Here is a 23,391-nt window from a genome sequence, read left to right on the forward strand (position 1 = left end):
ACCTGAGGTTAGGAGTTTGAGACCAGCCTGACCAACATGATGAAAGCCCGTCTCTACTAAAAATACAAAAAATTAACCGGGCATAGTGGCAGGTGCCTGTAATCCCAGTTACTCAGGAGGCTGAGGCGGAAAAATCGCTTGAACCTTGGAAGCAGAGGTTGCAGTGAGCCGAGATCGGGCCACTGCACTCCTTCCTTTGCAACAAGAGCAAAACTCCATCTCAAAAAAAAAAAAAAAAAAAAAAAAAGTCTTCAGTGGTCTCTCATTGAAAATCTAAACCCCTCAGTCATTCATGGCATTCTGTGTCTCGGCCCTATCCTACTTTCTCACTTTATTTCTTGCCATTTCTTTTAACGAGCCTTTCTTGCACTTGCTTTCATGAACGCTTTTTACCAGCCAGTCCTCACTATTTACTGGTGCTGGTATATGTCCTGTATTCTGTCATCTGTGTATTTTATTGACTTCTTCCTTCTGCTGGAATGCCTTGCCTCTCCCAAGTTTGTTTAACATTTGCCAAATGCCTTTATGTTCTGGACGTTTTGTTAGGCATTTAAGACACCAAGGTAAATAAAATATGTTACAGTTCTTGTCTTTCAGGAGTTCACAGGCAATGAGCCTGTTACCTGTCTATGAGTATTCAGTTTAACCATTTCGACCGCTACCTCCTTCACAAATTCTTCTGTTAATTCCACAACTGGAATTCATTTTTATCTCCTTCGAAACGTCTAACTGTGGCTTGGGCATATAGACGCGTAGGAAACAAAAGAAGGATTGACCGCTGAATGGTCAGATGCCGTTGAATACAACTGAGTAGTTTCTCCATGACCATCAACTACCTTTCCTTTCTTATTTACCTTTTATGGTGGTTACTTTGCGCTCATTTGTTTCCTCCTTTTTACCTTGCATTTACAAGGTGCTGGGCTTTGTAGTACATGAAGAAGAAGCAGATGAGCCATGGACCTTTGAATCTGTTAGGAGAGAATGACGAACTGTACACACATTTATCCTTTTCCTGGGAAGCAGCGTGGTGTAGTGAAAGAGCATAGGGGAGGCATCAGATCAGAGTTTGTTAAATTGCTGCTTTCAAGAAATCTTTACATCCACCTGTTTTCCACGTGCATTGTCTGAGCTGTGCGGCTGCAGTGGTGACTAAGACAAGATGCTTAGGTACTGGCCAGGGAGATGGACAATCAAGCAAGTCCAGAAATAAATATATATATTTATTAGATATATTTATATTTATTATGTTTATTATATATTATATATATTATAATATATATTATATATTATATATTATTTTCTTATATATTTATTATTTATTTATTATATATTTATTATATATTATATATAATACATATTATATAATACATATAATATATAATATATAACATTATATATTTTATTATATATGTTATATATTATATTATAATATATAACATATATAATACGTATTATATATAACATAATATGTATTATATATTATATAATATGTGTTATATATCATACGTATTATATACTATGTATTATATATGTATTATATAATATATATTACATATAATACATAGTATATAATACGTATGATATATAATATATATTATATAATACGTATTATATAATATATATTATATTTCACCTATATAATATATATAATTATTCACCTAATTATATTAAATAATTATTCACCTAAATATTCACCTAATTATTCAGCGAATAGGTGAATAATTATTTATTCACCTATTCACCTAATACATGTAATTATTATATATAATATATTAATAATTATAATATATAATAATAATAATTATATTATAATAATTATATATTATAATATAGTATAATATAGCATATAATATATATTATAATATGTATATATAATATATATACATAAATATATAATATATTTATATATATATAATATATATATAATGATGTCAGGTAATAAGGGCCAGGAAGGAAAGTAACGGAAGATGAGAGGATAAAGAGCACTGGGAGGCAGTTTCCTTAGAAAGGATTTCAGAGAAGGCAGGTGACATCTGACTACAGACCGGAATGAAATGAGGAAGCTAGAACTGTGAGTGTCTGGGGGAAGAGCATTGCAGCCAGAGGGAACAGCGAATACAAAGACTTGAGATGGGGAACATGCTTGGCATGTGCAGAGAAGAGCGAAGAGGCCAGTGTGGCTGCAGGGCAGGGAACAGAGAGTACAGGAAGTTGATGGTAGAGACTGGCTGGAGGGATAAGCAGTGGTCAGACCGTGGAGGGCCTGCAGGCCACAGTAATGGTTTTCATGGGAGCCCTTGGAGAGGTGAAAGCTAGGAAGCAGCAGCTGATAGATGTTTCAGAAGACAATTCTGGCTGCTGGCAGAAAATAAACTGTAGGGGGGCAAGACTGGAAGCAGCAGGCCCAGCTTGGAGAGTAGAGTAGTTCACATAAAAGATGATGGTAGGCCGGGCACGGTGGCTCACGCCTGTAATCCCAGCACTCTGGGAGGCCGAGGCGGGCAGATCACCTGAGGTCAGGAGTTCGACACAGCCTGGCCAGTATGGTGAAACCTCATCTCTACTGAAAATACAAAAAATAGCTGGGTTTGGTGGTGCATGTCTCTGATCCCAGCTACTCAGGAGGCTGAGGCAGGAGAATCACTTCACCCTGGGAGGCCGAGGTTGCAGTAAACTGAGATTGCACCACTGAACTCCACCCTGGGGTGACAGAGTGAGTCTCTGTCTCAAAACAAACAAACAAACAAACAAAAAACAGTAGTGTAGTCACAAGGAATCTGATTTGGGATGTGTTTTTGAAAGTGGAGCTGCCTTGCCTTGCTGGTGAATTGTAAATGAGGTGAGAAAGTCATTAAGGGTAACTCCTTCAGTTCTGCCTCTTACTAGACAAGTGCCTTTGGGCAAACTACTTAACCTCGTAGAAACTTAAGTTTAAATAATGCTTCACAAGTCTGTGGAATACTTTCATATATATCGCTTACATCATTTTATTTGATCCTTTCAACATGCAAGGTTGTATACAAGTTTTACAGTTATACCTGGTTTTTTTTTTAATGGACCTCAGAAAATTGAGTTACTACTACTCAGTTGATGACTCATCATTTTCATGATTGATTCCTTAAAAGGTTTCCTCTGTTGTTGATTTTCTTCCTCCCTAATTTTCACTCCCGTTTCCTGCCTCATCCACAATCCCTGTAGGCAACCACGTTAGTTGTTGCTATAAAATAGATAGCACTATTGTGTATGGGTGTGCGCACACATGCATGTGTGAGTTTAATTTGCCTAACTGGGATTATGTTGTAGATCTTGTTCTGCTTCTTAATATGGTGACACAATACTGTTTCAAGATCTCTTCATATTGCTGTGTGTACAACCATTTCACTGCTTCTGACAGCATAGGATTCCAAAGTATCTAAAAGAGCTTCCTTAACAGACCTTTTAGGTAACTTCCAACTCCCTGCTATCACAAACAACTCTGGTAAACATACTCATTCATGTCCCTTTATATAGTCTTGTGCCATAATTGCTCTGAGACTGCCCCTAGGATGGGATGGCGCCATAAAGTAGGTGCGTATCTCATTTCACAAACTAATTGCTTTCCAGGATGACAATTGCACATTGCCTTCCCATGATGGTGCAGGAGAGGGTACCTCGTCTCCACTTTCTTACCAACATTTGGTATTGTCTTTCTAATTTTTCCAGTCTGAAGATTGTGAAATAGTTATTGCTTTGTTTTAATTTGAATTTCATTAATTATTAGTGTTTAATTATCTTTGTATATGCTTGTGAGCAGTATACTTAAAATTTTTTTTTTTCCTTTTTGTGAATTGCCTAATTTCTGTGGTCTACTTTTAAACATTGGGTTTATTGTCCTTCTCATGTTGATTTGCATGGGTACCTTGTATACTCTGTGGGTGTTCATTCTCCATTTAGGCATTACGAATGTTTTCTAGTGTGTCACCCATCTGTTGTTTTTTTCTGTGGTGCCCTTTGTTGAACAGAAATCTTTACTTTTAATGCAGAACTTGCCAATGTTTTGCTTTATGGTGTGTGGCTTGTCTTAAGAACTCCTTCCCTGTCCCCAAATCACCAGGATGTTCTCCTACATTTTCTTCCATAATAGCTTCATAGTTTTACTGTTCATTTTTAGGTCTTTAATTTGGATTCTATCTTTGTTTCAAGTGTGATAAGAACCTATTTTTCTCCATAGAGCAAGCCAGTTTTCTTAATCCCATCACGTGACAACCCAACCTTGGCTGGTTTATGTCAAGTTATCCTATATATACGGGTCTGTTTCTGAGCTCTCTGTCATAATCCATTGGTTCATTAATCTGCTCTTTTGTCATCATCATATTCTCTTTCCTTCTGTGGCTTTGTGATGTGTCCAAAAATCGGATAGTGCTAGTTGCCCCGCTTTCGTTTTTTTTTTTTTTTTTTAAAGTTGACAACTATGTTTCGACCTTTATGTTTCCATGCAATTTTGGAAAACTTGCTATGTTCATGGGATTTTTAAAAGTCTTTAATAATAATTGAAGACTCAAAGGCAGTTGCAAAAATTGCACATAGAGGTTTTAGAATCGTCCACTCAGCTTCCCCTAATGTTGACCTGTTTTATAACTGTAGTGTAATCAAAATGAGGACAAAATTAGGACATTGACATTGGTGCAGTACTATTAACTAGACCACAGACTTTATACAATTTTCATAGGATTTTAAAAAAATGAATTGTTTTGGATTTATAGATTAATTGGAGTCAAATTGACATCTTGACATCCATGAACAATGTTACATTATTTATTCAGATCTTCCTTTAAGTCCCTTAGTGGAACTTTAAGATGGTGTATATGCTAGGTGCTGTACTAGGAGCTGAGGATATAGAAATTAATCAAACATGCCTTCTACCTGAAAAAACTAAGACCATTATAAGAAATAAACATATAAACTAGAAAGTTTAATAAAGTATTTTAAATGCTGTGATAGGGATGTATACAGGGCATGGATGGGACAATAAGGACAAAATGATAAAATAGAACTGAATCTGACAATTGATGTGAATCATAGGAGTTTTGTGGAGCTCTTATGTTTTTAAAACATATTTTTCTTGGCCCACTGTTCTATAAGTAACTGACTAGAAACATTGAATAAATGAATGGAGAATACCTTAATAGTTTATAGCATATTTATTCTGACATAAAGTAACAATTATTTTTAACTCCTCTAGTCATTCATTATACTTTATAGCAACTACATAAAACCTGCCAGACTAACAAAACAAAATTCACCTTACAAAATGAGTTAGTATGACAAGCATAGATGATATGGAAATTTACAAGAGAATAACCGTATGTCTTGTACATTTTTTTTGTTTTTTTACTGACAGTTTGGTTGCTGTGTGTCTTTCACTTCCAGCTGAAGCAGAATGACAGTGATTTTTAAAACAGTTTTATTGAGGTACAGTCGACGTATTACACACTATATATATTTGAAGTGTAAACTTTGATGTGTGTTGATATATGTACACACCCTGAAACTGTCACCATAAGTTCAAGATAATGAATTTATCACCCCCATAAGTTTTGTGGTGCCCTTTCGTAATCCCTTCCTTCTTTTCTTTTCCAAGTAGTCACAGATGAGTTTGCATTATCTAGAAATTTATGTCAGTATATCATAAATCATGCAGTACTCTCTTTTGAGATTTGTCCATGTTGTATATATCAATAGTTCATTCTTTTTATTGCTGAGTACTAAGTGTCCATTTTGCAGTATTCCATAGTTCATTTATTCACCTGGTGATGGAAATGTGGGTTTCCAATTTGAGGCTATTAAATAAAGTTGTTTTTAATATTCTTATGCAAGTCTTTGAATGAACATGTGGTTTCTTTTCTCTTGGGTGGCAAGCCATTTACTTGCCAGTGGAATGGCTGGATCAGATGTAGGTATGTGTTTTACTTTTTAAGAAGCTGCCCCAACTGTTTTCCAAAGTGCTTGTACCTACAGTTCTACATACCTATGAGCAGTGTGTGAGAGTTCTATTTCCTCCACATTCTTGTCAGCATTTGCTATGGTCTGTCTTTTAAATTTTGGCAATTCCAATAGATGTTAAGTGGTATCTTACTGTGGCTTAAATTTGCATTTCCCTTATGACTAGTGGTGTAGGGCATCTTTTCATATGCTTATTTGCCATCCATATGTCTTTTTTTTGCTAAGTGACCATCCATATAGTTTTCCCATTTGTAATGGATTATTTGCTTTCTTACTGCGTTTTGAGAGTGTATGTTTGTATATTCATACACAGTCATGTGATTTATTATATATATGATGGTAGTCCCATAAGATTATAATGGACCTGAAAAGTTTCTCTTGCCCAGTGACGTTGTGTTTGTGGTGATGCCAGTATAAACAACAAACCTGGGCTGCCAGTTACACAACAATGTAGCACATACCATTGCATACATCACATAATATTTATAAACGATCATAAAACGACTTTGTTACTGGTTTATGTATTTACTATAGTATACTTGTTATTGTTATTTTAGAGTATACTGCTTATACTTCTAAAAAGAATGTTAACTGTAAAACAGCCTCAGGCAAGTCCTTCAAGAATTATCCAGAAGAAGGCATTATCATCACAGGAAATGACAGGTTCATGTATGTTATTAATATTTCCCCTGAAGACCTTCCAGTGGGGCAAGATGTGGAGATGGAAGACAGTGACATTGATGATCCCAACCCTGTGTAGGCCTAGGCTAATGTGTGTGTTTGTGTCTTAGGTTTTAACAAGAAAGTTTACCAACAAAAATTTTTTAATTGGAAAAAGCTTATAGAATGAGGATATAAAGAAGGAAAATATTTTTGTACAGCTGTATGGTGTGTTGTATTTTCAGCTTAGTGTTATTACAAAAGAGGTAAAACGTTAGAGATTAAAAAGTTTATAAAGTAAAAAAGTTACAGTAAGGTAAGGTTAATTTATTGTTGAAGAAAGAAACATTTTAACAGTAAATTTAGTGTAGCCTGTTGATGAAGTCCTCAATAGCCTACAGGAATGCCCCGTGGCTTACCTTTTCATGCTCTTTAACCCTGTGTTTCAAAGAGCAGACGTTTTACATTTTGAACATGTCCAATTTGTCAGTTTGTTCTTTTATAGATTGGGATTTTAGTGTCTTATCTAAGAAACCATTGCCTCACCTAAGGTCACAAATATTTTCTCTCATGTTTTCTTCTAGCAGTTTTATAGCTTTGGGTTTTACATTTAGGTAAAAGGTCCCATTTTGAGTTAGTTTTTGTATATGGTTCATGATTATAGATTCAAATTCTTTAAAAAAAAAAAAAGCTATCCAGTTGTGCCAGCACCATTTGTTGAAAAGACTGACCTGTCTTCAATTGAATTGTCTTCGTATCTCTGTTCACGTGTAAGTGGATCTATTTCTGGACTCTTTTTTTCTGTTCAGTTGATCTGTTATCATCATGTCATTTTCACACTGTCTTAATTACTGTAGCTTTATAGTAAGCCTTGAAATTGTGTAGTGTTAGCCATACCACTTTGTTCTTATTCAAAGTTGTTTTGGCTATTTGAAGACATTTGCATTTCCATATGAATTTTAGAATCACCTTTTCAGTTTCTACATTAAAGTCTGCTGTGATTTTGTTTGGAATTATGTTGTATCACTGGATGAATTTGGGGAATAATTGACAATAAAAAGAAAATTCTGGGTACATTTACACAATCGTCATCTGCAAATAAAGGTAGTTTTACTTCTTTTTTAATCCTTTTTTATTCTTTTTACCTTACTGCACTAGTTATAACCTTGAGTGCAATGTTGACTAGAAGTGGTGACAGTGAACATCTTTGTGTTATTCATGATTTTAGAGAGAAATAATTCAATCCTTCACCGTTAAGTGTGCTATTAGATTTAGGGGTTTTTTTGTGGGGTTTTTTGTAAATGCCCTTATCAGGTTGAGGAAGTTCCCTTCTGTTTCAAATTTGCTGAGAAATTTTTGGTTTTTCATGTTTTTAAATCAGAAATGGATGTTAGATTTTGTCAAATACTTTCACTTTTTTTTTTTTTTTTTTGAGACAGAGTCTCAACTCTGTCACCTAGGCTGGAGTGCAGTGGCTCAGACTCGGCTCACTGCAACCTCTGCCTCCCGGGTTCAAGCGATTCTCTTGCCTGAGCCTCCTGAGTAGCTGCATGCCACCACGCCCAGCTAATTTTTTGTATTTTTAGCAGAGACAGAATTTCACTGTGTTAGCCAGGATGGTCTTGATCTCCTGACCTCGTGATCCACCCGCCTTGGCTTCCTGAAGTGCTGGGATTACAGACGTGAGCCACGGCACCCGGCCCTTTTGCTTTTTATAAATTGATACATAATATGTATCACTTGGAAGTAAGGGAAATCTGAAGTGAACTGTTTTCCTATGCTCCAGAAATATCTCTCTACAAACACTTAACACATTAGTTACAGATCTTTTTCCTATTCTTTGAAATAAGGCCCCAAATAATCTCCATCAGAACAGTTAGCTTAATGTGAATTACTTTATATATTTGAAATTTAAAAAAGACATATATTGTAAGTAATGTATGGCTCACATTTTAATGATGCAGCCTTGCTTCTTCCTTAATTAGACTGAGGAGAAGAAAGTTAATATAGATGGTAACTACAACTATATTCTCTTTTCAAAGAAATAATAATATATTTAAAGTTAGTAATATATGTGTTCCTAAACATGATTTGCAATTTCTTACAGATTTGTAGGATCACTGGGTACCATCATCATAAAATGTAAAGATTTTCGAATTATTCAGTTGGATATTCCTGGAATGGAGGAATGCTTGAATATAGCCAGTTCCATTGAGGTAAGTATTTTGGAAGCAAAATCTAATGAAACATAATTTTATATTATGACTCAGTGTAGCTCTTCCATTTCTTCATTAGATAATTTAGTCATGTTCTCTGACTCAAATACTGAAGACTGATAGGAAAAGCCTCACCCTGGTTCATCGTCATATGAGTGTAATGGAACTTTCTTGACTTCCAGCAGTGTCTGGTGTTACTCACGTTATATGAGTAGCTCAATTCCATGAGTTGCTTGGAATTCCATTTCCAATGGCTTTGTGGAATTTCCATGAGTTCATATTGGTTAAATAACAGATACTGTTTCACTTGAGTGTATGAGTTCTTATTTGGGGAAACCATTAGAAGATTTAGTAAAGAGGTTCTTGGGAGAAATTTTAAAGTTTTGCTTGATATTTTATGTTCACTATACAAAGCTCTGTGCCAAAGACTGTAAACTTCTTTTTCTTTCCTTTACTTGAGGTTTGTTCAAGTAAAATCTTATATGGAATTGTAAACCAATAAAATAGATACAGTTAGAATTGCTTTTAGTCACATTACAGTGAGTAGGTAGGGACTGGGGGGACCTAGAAGCCCTCATTGACTTGACTATTCCCATCTGCCCTCTACAGAGTTCCTTAGAGACACTGCAAACCACTAGTGAGTTAACCAGTGCACTGTTCACTTCTCTACCAGGTTAGCAGCTAGAAGTGGAATTGTTTCTTCTTGAATATACTAGTATATCTTTTGTAATAAATACAGTTCTAAAAATTTGAATAGAAATATTAATAAATTAGAATATTATTGTACCATATTATTACATATATATATACACATTATTACATGTATTAGTACATTATTGAACGATAGCACAGTTTGATTCTTGATTTTACCACATGCTAGCTTGTGACCATTGGTAAAGTACTTAACATCTCTCTGATTTGTTTTCTACGTTTTATAAAACAAGGATAATAGTACCTATCTTTTAGGGCTGTTGTAAGAATTTTATTAGTTGATGTGTGTAGAATGGTTAGTATAATACTTGGTAAATAGCAGCTACCATTTGAGGGTCCTCTGTCATTACTTACTATAATTTTATGGTGATGCTTTTTTAAAAAAATTGTGGTTAGAAAACACTTAACCGTTTTTAAGTGTACAGTTTAGTAGGGTATAAAACTTTATTCACATTGTTGTGCAGCAGATCTCCAGGACTTTTTCATCTTGCAAGATCGAAACTCTGTGTTAAACAACACCCCATTTTCCCCTCTCTCCAGCTCCTGAGAACCCCCATTCTACTTTCTGTTTCTCTGAATTTGACTACTTTAGGTATCTCATATAAGTAGAATCATAGTACATAGTATTTGTCTTTTTGTGACTGGTTTTTTTCACTTAGCATAATATCCTCACAGTTCATCTGTGTTGTAAATTCTGACTTTTTAAGGCTGAGTAATATTCCATTGTTATGGATGCATGTGGTGAGACTTTTAAAAAGTTATTTCTTTTCTAAAGCAAGTAACTGTCACCAGTGATTATAGTTTTTTGTTTGTTTTTAGTAATCTGAATTTTCACGTATCAATTAGCTTAAGACAGGGTGTGTTTGCTTTTTATTTATATAAATAATATTGAATATTGGTTCAGATTACAAATAATAGAAATTTTACTTGGTTAGTTTAAATGGAAGAGCTCATACTGTTTTCTTTCCATTCTAACCAACTATTTTGATGTACACTGAAATTTTAAATTGCCTTATTTTAAACTATTGCCACTAAATTATATCAGTTAATCTTAGGTTTATAGTACTTTCTAGACTACTATAGGAACGTTGATTTTTTCTTTCCGTGTATGTGTAACTAATCTGGACTTTGTGTCCAAAAAATGCTATCAGCTTAGCTATTAAAAATGGGTAGAAAGTCTTAAAAATCTAGAAGTAGGATTTTAGTGATTTTTAAAACAGGAATAGAGAAATAGAGGAAAAACTGTTATAGTGCTAAGTAAATGGTACATAACACATTTCTTCCTGCCTTTGTTGAATTTTACTTAAGGAAATGAGAAGATGAACTGAACTGTTTGTCTTACACATCTGTCATTTGGAAGTAATGCATGATGTTGATTTGATGTAATTTGTTAAATTGAATGAGAATGCATGTAGTTTATAGACTGTTAAATTGAAATAATGTCCCACTATTTGGGCATTTGGGCAGAGGAACATTACCCACTTCCATTGAGCATGTATGTGTTTGTGGGTTTTGTGGTTTTTTTTTTTTTCAGTTAGGAGATTGGATTTTCACTGACCAGTCTTCGTTTTTCTTATTCCTTTGTGAGAATTGATCTGTAAGATGACTGGCTGGTTGGTGTCAGAGATGCTGCCTGTGGTGAGGCACAGTGGTGAAGGAAAAGGGGAAGTGTGCTACCCACTTGCTGACGCTGATCAGTTGTTTAAGTAGCTGTATATATTTTAAAACTCTTTAGAAACTGACTCATTATATAAAAGCCCTTAGGACTGAAAAGAAGCCGTAAATTATGAGCTCATTTGACCTCAGAAAATGAATGCTCTGTTAAATGTTCTTACAGCGTAGTGATTAACATAGTGAACCTGTCCTCTATCCTTTTCCTGGCACAGAATCCCTCCTGCTAGCCCTCCACCCTTCCCCGAATACATCTGGACACGATTTGTGAGTAGTAATTGAATTTTTCATATAGCATAGCTGAGCTGTCCTTTGTAATTAGGAGTCCGTATACTCAAATATATTCTGCTGCCTCACGTAGAATCCCATTGGAAGAATAGCTGGCAAGTGCTCAGTTATCTAAATTGTAGCAATAAGTTAGTGAAGCTTTTTTTCAGTGTTTCACCTGCCTTTGGAAGTGAAATGTTTTCAGTTCTCTCAGCATTAATGTGTTTAAAGGAAAAGACCTCTTTCTAGTGACATAAGATCTCAAGATGAAATATGAGTGCTTATTGCCTGTGAGAGTGGTTGCTGACTTGCATTTAAAATAATGGTGGTTCTGATTGACGGCAGCCCTGAGTTAGGTCAGACATGGACGCTGGCTGTTCTGCTTCTGTTTGGTGTGATTGGCAGCCAAAGACAGTATAGATGTAGGAAAAATATATATATATATATTTATATGGATAATGGATTATACAGCCATGCTTCTCTATATTTTGTTTTATGAGGTAGGAGAGAAGGTTTCATGATTTATAGATGGATAGAAAAATAACTTTGGATGGAGATGTTTTTGCTACACTGCTGAGCTGTATGTCCGGTCTACTATTGAATAGTCATGGGCCTATCCTTTTGCATGCCTGATCTTCCTCTGACCTGGAGGGAGATAAGTGCATTCTGAGCATTGCTGTTGGGCCTTCTCCTCCTGTCCAGGTGAATGTCTCCATCATTCCTGCAGTTTGAATTATGCTAATTGATATGGTATCCTTTCCCCGCTGCACCCCCCCCCCGCCATCCAGTATAGAAATACTTTTTTCCATAATCCCCCTGTGAGAAGGATGAATCTGCCTAGTGATAGAGACTTTCCTTCTCTCTGTTCCTCCCATCTACTCAGGTTTTCCTATGTCTGTTTTCCAGGATTCAAGTGCTCCAGGTAAATATAGGCCCATTTGGGGCTGATAGAGTTATTGCCCCCATTTGAGAATGGATCCCTGCAGCATGAAAATATGATGATACATGACCAAATGGCATATACCAGTCTAGGAAGAGAGGAAATGAACATTGATGGAATTTCTACCTATGTAGAGCATGTCATAGCTGAAATTGGCCAGGTGCGGTGGCTCACACATGTAATCCCAATACTTTGAGAGGCTGAGGCAGGCAGATCACCTGAGGTCAGGAGTTCAAGTCTGGCCTGGCCAACATGGTGAAACCCCATCTCTACTAAAAATACAAAAAAATTAGCTGGGTGTGGTGGCAGGCACCTGTAATCCCAGCTACTCAGGAGGCTGAGGAAGGAGAATCACTTGAACCCGGGAGGCGGAGGCTGCAGTGAGCCGAGATCGCGCCATTCTAGCCTGGGTGACAAGAGCAAAACTCTGTCTCAGAATAAAAGTGGGAATTACTTTAGATTTTATTATGTGCCAGACACTGTTCTAAGCCTTTTACACACATTATCTCTCTTAATGCTTCAACAACACTATGAAGTAGGTATGTTATTTCCCCCATTTTACAGTTGAGGAAACTGAGGCATAGAGTGGTTACATGACTTTCCTACTGCACTGCTAGGATTTGGAATTTCAGTCCGGCATTCTCATTCCCATCTGACTGTAGACCTCTAGGCTGTATCATCCTTTTTTACAGTTACTAACCCACCCTGATTTCAAATAATTTACATAAGTTTATTTAGGTAATAACTGGATTTTGAGCCAAGACCTTACTGACTAGCCAAAAACTGATCCCCAGAAATACTTAGACCTTTTTATTAAGCTTTATTAATTGATGTCGAGGTGTTATTTCATTTTTCTTCTAGAATTGGTATGCACATTTTTTTGTTCTTTTTTTCATCCCGTCAACACTTTTGAGTGTGTGTTATGTGGCAGATGCCTTTGTTAGATACTAGAAGCAAAGAAATCAGCTTCAGTAAGACTAAAATTGTATCTGGTGATAAACACAATGTTAGAGAAACATTCTGGGTGCCCATCATTATTAGACCATGTTTGCTTAATACTAATTTGTCAGTTAGAATATGTTTCCAGTTGTGGATGTTTCTTTTTTGTCTTTCTTTTCTTTTTGCCCCCAGGCATTGTCTACTCTGGACTCCATCACTCTGATGTACCCTTTCTTTTACCGTCCTATGTTTGAAGTGATAGAAGATGGCTGGCATTCCTTCCTTCCTGAGCAAGAATTTGAACTCTATTCTTCAGCTGTGAGTTAACTTTTGAGAACTGTGGATTATGAGAAGTAACCCAATACCTTATTTGACTTGTGAAAATGATCACTTCTTTTGAAGAGTAATAAGGTGAAGTTGACTTATCCATTCCTAATCTTAATATATTTAAAAGGATTGAAGCCATGCAGAGTATGATCTCTGATCACAAAGGAATTAGATTAATAATCAGTAATACTAAGATATCTAGGAATACCCCCAAGTATTTCTAAATTAAACAGAACGCTTGTAAATAATCTGCATGTCAAAGAAATTAGAAAACATTTTGAAGTGAGTGATAATGGTTATGTAACATATTGAAATTTGTGGAATACAGACAGCTAAGGCAGTGTTTAGAGATAAACTTACAGCTTTAAAATTTTTACTAGAAAGGAAAGTCTAAAATTATTGACCTAAGCACCAATTTAAGAAGCTAGAAAAAAAAAGCAAAGTAACTAGAAAGAAAAAATAATAAAAATAAGAGCAGAAAGCAATAAAATAACTAGAATAAGTAAGTTTAGCAAAGTTGGTTGATATAAGATCGGTATACAAAAACGAATTGAATTGGCAACAAGCGATCTGACAATGAATAAAATATTTACGAATAAATTTAACAAAAGAAATTCAAGGTCTATACACTGAAAGACATAAAACATTGTTGGAAGAAGTTGCAAGAGATCTAAATAAAAGGAGAGATACTGTGTACATCAATTGGAAGACAATATTGTTCAGGTTAGTGGTTGGCTGACTTTTGTGAAAGACCATTAGATAGTAGATATTTTAAGCTTTGCAGGTCATGTGGTCTCTGTTGTAACTACTGAACTCTGCTGTTGTTGCATGAAAAAAGCAATCAGATGAGACATCAGTGAATGGGTGGTGCTATGTTCTAATAAACTTTATTTGCAGAAACAAGTAGCAGGCTGGATTTGGCTCATTAAAGTGGCAGTTCTCCCTTAATTGATCTGTAGAGTCAGTGCAATCCCTGTTAAAATTCTAATAGGTGTTTTTGTAGAAATGGACAAAATGATACAAATTTTATGGAAATGCAAATTTAAATATATAAGTTTATATGGAAAGTCAAAACAGCTTTGAGAAAACACTTGATTACTGTAAAGCCACAGTAATCAAGAGAGTATGGTATTGCTGTAAGCGAAGACATACAGACCAATGAAACAGAATACAGGGTACAGAAATAAACCTTCCCCTTAATGCTCAGTTGATTTTTGACAAAAGTACCAATACAATTCAATTGGGAAAGGATAGCTTTTTCAACCAATAGTATTGGAACAGTTGGATATCCATATGTAAAAAAGATAAACCTAGACCCTTACCTCACATCATCCACAAAAATTAACTAAAATGTATTATGCAACTAAACATGAGAACTAAAACTATCAAACCTCTTTAAGAAAGCACAGGAGAAAATCTTTATGACCTTCAGTTAGACAGAGATTTTTTAGATATGACACCAAAAGTGACTGAAAGCAGGTTAGTGATTTCCTAGTATTGGGTGTTACACAGGTGTATACAACTGTCAAGACTCATGAAATTGTGTAGTCAAAATGGATTCAGTTTATTTTTTATAAGTTTTGTCTCAAAGTTGACTAAAAAGAAGATAAAAGAATAATCTAATGCAAATGTTAAGTAGCTGATTAGAAACAGCTTAGGAGAAAATAAGTGATTTGAAATATAGATCCGAAATAATTACTCAGAATATGGAACAGAGAAGGAAGATGGAAAAACAGAGAGGTTAGACACATGCATGCTTAATAAAGGAAGAAGATCCAATATTTATTACATGGGAGTTTAGGATAAAAGATGATAGAGGCTGGTTATGGTGGCTCACACCTATAATCCTAGCACTTAAGGAGGCTGAGGCAGGCAGGTCACTTGAGCTCAGGAGAGTTTGAGACCAGCCTAGGCAACATGGTGAAACCCCATCTCTATGAAAAAATTTAGCTAGGTGTGATAATGTGTGTCTTTGGTCCCAGTTACCTGGGGGTCTGAGGTGGGAGAATGGCTTGAGCCCAGAAAGTTGAGTTTGCAGTGAGCAGTGATAATGCCGCTGCACTCCAGCCTGGGTGAGAGAGCAAGACCCTGTCTCCAAAAAAAAAAAAAAAAAAAAAGAGGAAGACAAAAAAAAAAAAAAGGTGATGATAGAAGAAAGACAATATTCAAATGCATAATGGTTGATAATTCTCCAGAATCAGTAGAAGTTATTGAACCCTTAAGCTGAGGTATCCCAGCAAATACCATACAAGATAATAAAAAAATCTTTAGACATGTTGTTGTTCAGCTACTGAACAATAAAGCAAAGAAAATACCACAAAGTTAAAAGACAAATGACCTGCATGGTGTTAGATTAACAGAGGAAAAAAGTTTGATCAATATCTATTTATGATAAAAGCTCTTAGAGTTGGATTTGAAGGAAATTTATTTAATCTGATAAAGGATGGGTACCAAAACCAAAAACATAAAAAAAGCAAATCTTGTATCATTCTCTCTAAGTTCAAGAATGAGGCAAGGATGTCCATTGTGACTACTTCTAGTCAGCTCAATAAGACAAGAAGGAAAAATACAGGGTATAGGGATTGAAATGAAGGTAGCAAAATTGTCAATATTTATTGATTATATGCTTGTCTACATAGGAAAAGGAAAGAATCTTGAGATCATAGGCATTTCTGTACACCAAACACAATTTTGAAGAGATGCAGTTAAAATGCAACAAAGATTATTGGGTTTCTAGGAATATATCTAAGAAAAGATAGTAAGACCTTTATTGAGAGAATTATAAAAATTTATGGAAAAAATTTTGAAAGCTTAAACAAATGGAAAAGACAATATACTCATGGATAGAGAGACTGAATATTCTAAAGATGTAAGTCATTCCCTCCGATTTATAAAGTCAATACAATCTTAATAAAAACCCCAGTTGGTTTTTATATTGAATTTGATAAAAGTTGCATGGAAGACCAAAAGACCAAGAGGAGCCACGTTACTCTTTGAAGAACAAAAAGGTGAGAGGAGGACACTTGGCCTACTAGATACCAAACTTATTTTAAAAGCTATAGGAGTTACTAAAGTGGACAAGTGCGACGGGATGGAGAGCACAGTACATTTGGACCAACAGAAGCGGCATTGCAGATCAATGGAGAGCCCTGTCATTCTCCAGAGTAGGAAATCAATAATAATATATCATAGTGAAAGTTCAAGAAATAACAGTATTATCATGTTGTTTAGAAATGTAAAGGTAAACACTGAAAAAGCTAAAAATGTTGAAAATGATTGCCTTTGGGGAAAGCAAATTGGGATGGGCTAGCAAGGAACAGATAACTACATTTTTTTAAAAATAATAAATCTTTAGAAACTGTGTTTTTTTTAAATTAATTAATTAATTATTTTTTGAAACAATCTCACTCCAGTTGCCCAGGCTGGAGTGCAGTGGCGCTGTCACAGCTCACTGTGGCCTCGACTTCCTGGGCTCCCGTGATTCTTTCACCTCAGCATCCTAAGTAGCTGGAAATACAAGTGTGTGCCACTGTGCCTGGCTAATTTTTGCATTTTTAGTGGATATGGGGTTTGGCCATGTTGCCCTGGCTGGTCTTGAACTCCTGAACTCAAGCAATTTGCCTGCCTTGGCCTCCCAAAGTGCCGGGATGATAGGTGTGAACCACTGTGCCCAGCCTAGAAACTATGTTTTTAAACTGGTAACATAAATAACTTTGAAAAGTGAAAAAATTTAATTAAAAATGTGATACTGTATCTTATAAAAGCATTTTTTAAAAGTAATAATCTTGTCTGTTAGTACGTCTAACATACTTTTTAGCTTTATCTTCCTGCTATTGTAACCCATGGTTAGGCCAACTCAGATATACAGAACATATTGAAATTTACATATAATTTGATTTTTTTTTTTTACTGTAAAACCTTTTGACAGTGTTCAAGCTGTTTTTAATTCTGATGTTTAAAATAAGTTGTCATTTGATAGTTTTATATTGTATACTTCTAGTCCTTACTCAGTTTGAAATTATTTCATTGACTCCTAAGCTTAACCTTCCTTAGTATTGAGTTGGTACTGTTTTAAGAAAGGTGTTACCAATCTTAGTACATTTTTTACCTTTTTTAAAATAAACAAAGGGTTTGATATAGATAGTAGCTGTGTTCTCATTTGTTCTGGGGATGCATTATCTGGAGTCGTACAGTCTTACTTGTGCTTTAAGAGGATCATTAACAAACTAAATGGGACCCAGAAAAGGAAGAAGTAGGATGATGTTGGCCGTGATAATTGTGGATGTGCTTAATATATTTAACTTGGAGAATAGAACACTAAGGAGGATCAGCTGTCTTTCAAACATTTGATGGGATACCGTGTAAAATAGGGAACTTGTACGGTGTTGTCTGAAAGTACAGTAAAAACCAATAGAGGGAGCTACAGAGCAACAAGTTTTGCTCAGTGTGAGAAAGCACTTTCTGGGAACTGGTGATACCTAGCAATGCAGGAAGCTGGCCCTGAACCATAGAGCTCCTTTTCTCTGCAGCTACTTACATATAAGCTAGAGATCCACCTGTGAAATTCCTGAGAAATGGCTTCTTCATCAGTGAAAGTTGACCTCTAAGGTCTTTTAAAATTTCTCAGATTATTTTGCGACATTGAGATAGTTGCTTAGCTTTGAAGTATTTTGTGTTTTTCAGACCAGTGAATGGAGGCTAAGCTATGTCAATAAGGAATTTGCTGTCTGTCCCTCTTACCCACCAATTGTCACAGTGCCCAAATCCATCGATGATGAAGCTCTTCGGAAGGTAGCTACATTTCGACATGGAGGGCGCTTCCCAGTACTAAGCTATTACCACAAAAAAAATGGGATGGTAAGTGCACAGCACTACTGCTTGATGTACTGAAAGGCTTGGGTTGGGGATCTTTTCGTAGAAATGTTCCCTTTTGCTCTCTGTCTGTTCACTGAAATGATTGTCCAGGTCTCCACCACAAGGGCTTCCTTCATGTAAGCTTTAGGGAATCAGGAGTAGGGTGTTTTCTGTGGTGAGGATGTGATGCTGAATTCTTTCCATGATCCTGCTCAGCCGTATAAAAGCCCTGATAGCTTTATCTCCAGGACACTATACAAAGGAAACTAGTGTTTATTTGATGCTTACAGCAACATTCTTCTGGTAGAAAAATGAGAAATTTCTCTGTTCAGAATAATGGTAAAATACTTGAATTTTTCTTAACAACTTTACACGTGAAAGGTGGAGCAGACGTATTTATTTTCAAAGGTGAAAAGAGTGATGCTCATGTCATTTAGTCACAACTCTAGTAAACACTGGAGTCAGGATTAAACAAGGAGTTAAGATAACTACCTTGTAATGGTGGCGTCTTGAAAGAACTCTAAACCATTCGCCAGGGAAGAGATTAGTATAATAGACATTGATTTCTAGAGAAAAGTTTCAAAAGCAAACATTTCCAGATGTATAGTTGGTGGGGTAGTTTTTAGAAACAAGTAGTTAAATCCTTGAATACTGAAAAGGATGGTAGAGGCCACTGGAGAATACATAATAGACAGTCAGCTTCTGAGGTAGTGAAAATGATTTCCCAAACAATGAGAACAGTGTTTGAACTTTTAAATTTTGCCACTGGTGCCTTTACTTCTTATAATTGTTGTTAAAACCTGCCAACTCTATGTATGTTTAGTTGAAGTCAAGGTTTACTGGCTCATAGGCCATTATTGTCTTTATTACAGGTCCAGGTCTACAGGTATTTGATTCACACACTAAATGAATTGCAATATTTGATCTTAAAGAGGAGATATAATTTATTATGTGACAGTATTTTGAGACAGAGAAATTGTGTAAAAGCTTAAGGCTTATCTTTTATAGTTATTAACTATTGTCAATACATGCAAATATTTCTTTGTTTATGGATCAAATCCATCTGCAGAGTGTCACACAATTGTTTTTGAGATACTCTTAATCTAGCTAATTTCTTTCTGTTTTCAGAAACTTTAAAAGCAACTGCTGTTGAATTTTCAGCTTTATTATGCTTCTAGGTAATTATGCGAAGTGGTCAGCCACTCACTGGTACAAACGGGAGGAGGTGCAAGGAGGACGAGAAGCTGATAAATGCTACCCTCAGGGCTGGAAAGCGTGGCTACATCATTGACACCCGATCCCTGAACGTGGCTCAGCAAACTAGAGCCAAAGGAGGTGGCTTTGAACAAGAAGCTCATTATCCTCAGTGGAGGCGAATTCATAAGTCCATTGAGAGGTAAAAGATTCCAAAGATAGTACAGACTCTTATTAGAAGCTAATTATAGTGGGTAAGGCCTTAGCCATTTGAAAATCACAAGTGCTCAAATTAACTTCTGCATTAATTTAGGGTCAATGATGGGCTAGCCATCTTCTCATTTTTTTTTGGTCAGCTCTATTAAGGTTTGATTGACAAATAAAAATTACATGTATTTGTGATGTACACTGTGCTATTTTGATATACATATACATTGTGAACTGATTAAGTGAATTAACCTATCACGTCGCATAGTTATCATTTTTTTGGATGGTGAGAACATTTAATATCTATTCTCTTAGCAGTTTTCAAGCATACAATATATTAGTTTTAACTACAGTTACCATGCTGTACAATAGACCTACAGAACTAATTCCTCCTAAGTGAAACTTTGTTGTTACCTTTGATCAACATGTCCCCATATCTGTGTCCCTCCTACCCCGACCCCTCCTGCTACTTTCTCTTCCTCTGGCAACCACCATTCTACTCTCTGTTTCTATGAGTTTAACTTGTTTAGATTCCACATATAAGTGAGTTCATGCAGTGTTTATCTTTCTGTGCATGGGTGCCTGACTTATTTCATATAGCATGATGTCATCCAGGTTCATCTGTGCTATTGCAAATGACAGGCTTCCCCTCTTTTTTATTTTTATTTTATTTTTTTGGGATGGAGTCTTGCTCTGTCAGCCAGGCTGGAGTGCAGTGGCACGATCCCAGCTCACTGCAATCTCTGCCTCCCAGGTTCAAGTGATTCTCCTGTCTCAGCTTCCCAAGTAGCTGGGACTACAGGTGCCTGCTACCACGCCTGGCTAATTTTTGTATTTTTAGCAGAGACCAGGTTTTGCCATGTTGGTCAGGCTGGTCTCGAACTCCTGACCTCAAGTGATCCTCCTGCCTCGGCCCCTCAAAGTGTTGAAATTACAGGCATGAGCCACTGTGCCTGGCCTACCCTCTTTTTTAAGGCTGAATAGTATTTTATTGTGTATTGTACCACATTTTCTTAATCCATTCATCCATTGACGTGCATTTAGGTTGAATCCATATCTTGACTATTGTGAATAGTGCTGCAGTGAACGTGGGAATGCAGATACCTCTTTGAGATCCTGATTTCGTTTCCGATATTCAAAATATTTACCCAGAAGTGGGATTACTGGATCTTATTGCAGTTTCATCTTTAATGTTTTGAGGAGCCTCCATACTGTTTTCCACAGTGGCCATACTAATTTACATTCCCACCAGCATTGTACAGGGGTTCCCTTTTGTCCATATTCTCAACAACAGTTGTTAAATCTTGTCTTTTTAGTAATAGCCATTCTAACAGGGGTGAGGTGATATCTCATTGTGGTTTTGAATTTCATTTCTCTGTTGATGAGTGATGCAGAGCATTTTTTTTTTCAAATACCTATTGGCCATTTATATGTCTTCTTTTGAGAAATGTCTGTTCAGGTCTTGCCCATTCTTTAATCAGGTTTTGTGTTTTCTTGCTGTTGAGTTGAGTTTCTTACATATTTTGGATATTAACCCCTTATCCAGTGTGGTGTTCACAAATGTTTTCTCCCATTCCATAGGTTGTCTCTTTACTCTGTTGATTGTTTTGCTGTGCAAAACTTGTTAGTTTGTTCAGTCTCATTTGTCTATTTTTGCTTTTGTTGCCTCTGCTTTTGAGGTCATATCCAAAATAACTTTTCCCAGACCAATGTCAAGAAGCTTTTTCCTTATGTTTTCCTCTAATGATTTTTACAGTTTCAGGCCTTATGTTTAAGTCTTTAATCTACTTTGAGTTGATTTTTGAGTATGGTGTGAGGTAAGGGTTGAGTTTCTTCTGCATGTGCATACCCAGTTTTTCCACCACCACTCATGGGAGAAGCTCCTTTCCCCATTGTATGTTCTCGGCAACTTTTTCAAACATCAATTTACCATAAATGCATGGATTTATTTCTGGGTTTTATTCTGTTCCATTAGTCAATGTGTCTGTTTTTATGCCAGTGCCAAGCTGTTTTGATTACTTTAGCTTTGTAGCATATTTTAAAATCAGGTACTGCGTGAGGCCATCAGGACCAGGGCTTTTCTTTGATGGGAGGTCTTTTTAATCTCCTTACTCATTATTGGTCTGTTCATATTTTCTTTCTTCATGACTCAGTCTTGGTAGGTTGTATGCTTCTAGGAATTTATCCATTTCTTCTAGATTATCCAGTCAATTTGTTAATGTGTAATTGTTCACAGTAGTCTCTTATGATCCCTTGTATTTCTGTGATATCAGTTGTAATATCTCATCTTTATTTCTGATTGTATGCATTTGCATTGTTTTTCTCTCTGTTTTTAGTGAAAGAACCTTCAGCTAAAGGTTTGTTAGTTTTATCTTTCTTTTTGAACAGCCAGCCTTTGTGTTTGATAGGCGAAAGCTGTGCTCTTGGAGGCCTGCAGGAGTCCCTTTCACTAGCATTCTTTCTCTAAGCCAACCCTGTGGTCTCATCACCACAAGGCCAGCTCCTCTGCAGGTAGATCAGCAGTTGCTACACTGAACAGATTTGCTACATATACTTATATTTTCCTAAGTCAAAGACTTTAGAGATTTAATTTCTCCCCATATCGACCTATTTTCGCACAGTTTCCTCCACCTATTGTCTCTTGTTTGTACTGTAAAAGAGTGATTTATAAGTGTCTCTAGGTGGGTGAATGGGAGCTGTAGCTAGAAAACAGTGGGATCCAAGCTGGGTTGGGTAAGGCTGCTGATGGCACTGGGTCTCTAGTGTTAGATCGGTGGGAACAGGATTGCAAATGTAAGTGGTGCTGTGTCTCCTGACCTGTCATGAAACGCAGGGCTCTGGCCTCTCCTATAGTCAGATAATCCAGGTATGTGAACTGGGTTTAATCTGTTCAGGTAAGGAATACGTTACCATGGCAGGCATTTTAAGCCTTTGCAACAATGTTTAAATATTAGTTTTTCAACCTTTAATCCTCAAATTATAGCAGGGTAAATATTTTTATAGTATTTTGAACTACTTTTGCTCTTAGATATGTTGGAGGCTGAATCTTTGGTTTGGTTTCTTTATCTTTCTATTTTCTGGGTTTGTTATTTTTTACTTTCTTACTTTTAAAAGGTATCACATTCTTCAGGAGAGCTTAATCAAACTTGTGGAAGCTTGTAATGACCAAACACATAACATGGACCGATGGCTCAGTAAATTGGAGGCCTCTAACTGGCTGACTCACATCAAAGAGATTCTGACAACTGCCTGCCTAGCGGCTCAGTGCATCGACAGGTAAAGTGCATTTCAGCGTTCCTGAGCGAAACATGGCGCTGCTAACTAGACTTTGTGTTTATCCAGACATATGTTTATAGATTATGTGAAAGTTTGCAGTAAATTACTGTGTAGGCTAGTCAACACCATCCCATTATTGATGAGGTG

At 36.1% G+C, this 23,391-nt stretch overlaps 1 protein-coding gene across 4 annotated transcripts in view; it reads left to right on the plus strand.

The window, feature by feature from the left end:
- MTMR9 (myotubularin related protein 9) overlaps positions 1–23,391 on the plus strand; it is a 54,711-nt gene that overhangs the window by 1,629 nt on the left and 29,691 nt on the right. For 3 of the 4 annotated variants that reach the window (XM_047422125.1, NM_015458.4, XM_017013753.3), the window contains exons 2-6: positions 8,750–8,858; positions 13,579–13,704; positions 18,397–18,570; positions 19,746–19,963; positions 23,083–23,244. In XM_047422125.1, the coding sequence (XP_047278081.1) occupies positions 8,750–8,858; positions 13,579–13,704; positions 18,397–18,570; positions 19,746–19,963; positions 23,083–23,244 (789 nt within the window). The other variant, XM_011543831.3, reaches the window with a different exon arrangement.

Source organism: Homo sapiens, chromosome 8 (genome assembly GCF_000001405.40).
Source record: "Homo sapiens chromosome 8, GRCh38.p14 Primary Assembly".
Lineage (NCBI taxonomy): Eukaryota > Metazoa > Chordata > Mammalia > Primates > Hominidae > Homo > Homo sapiens.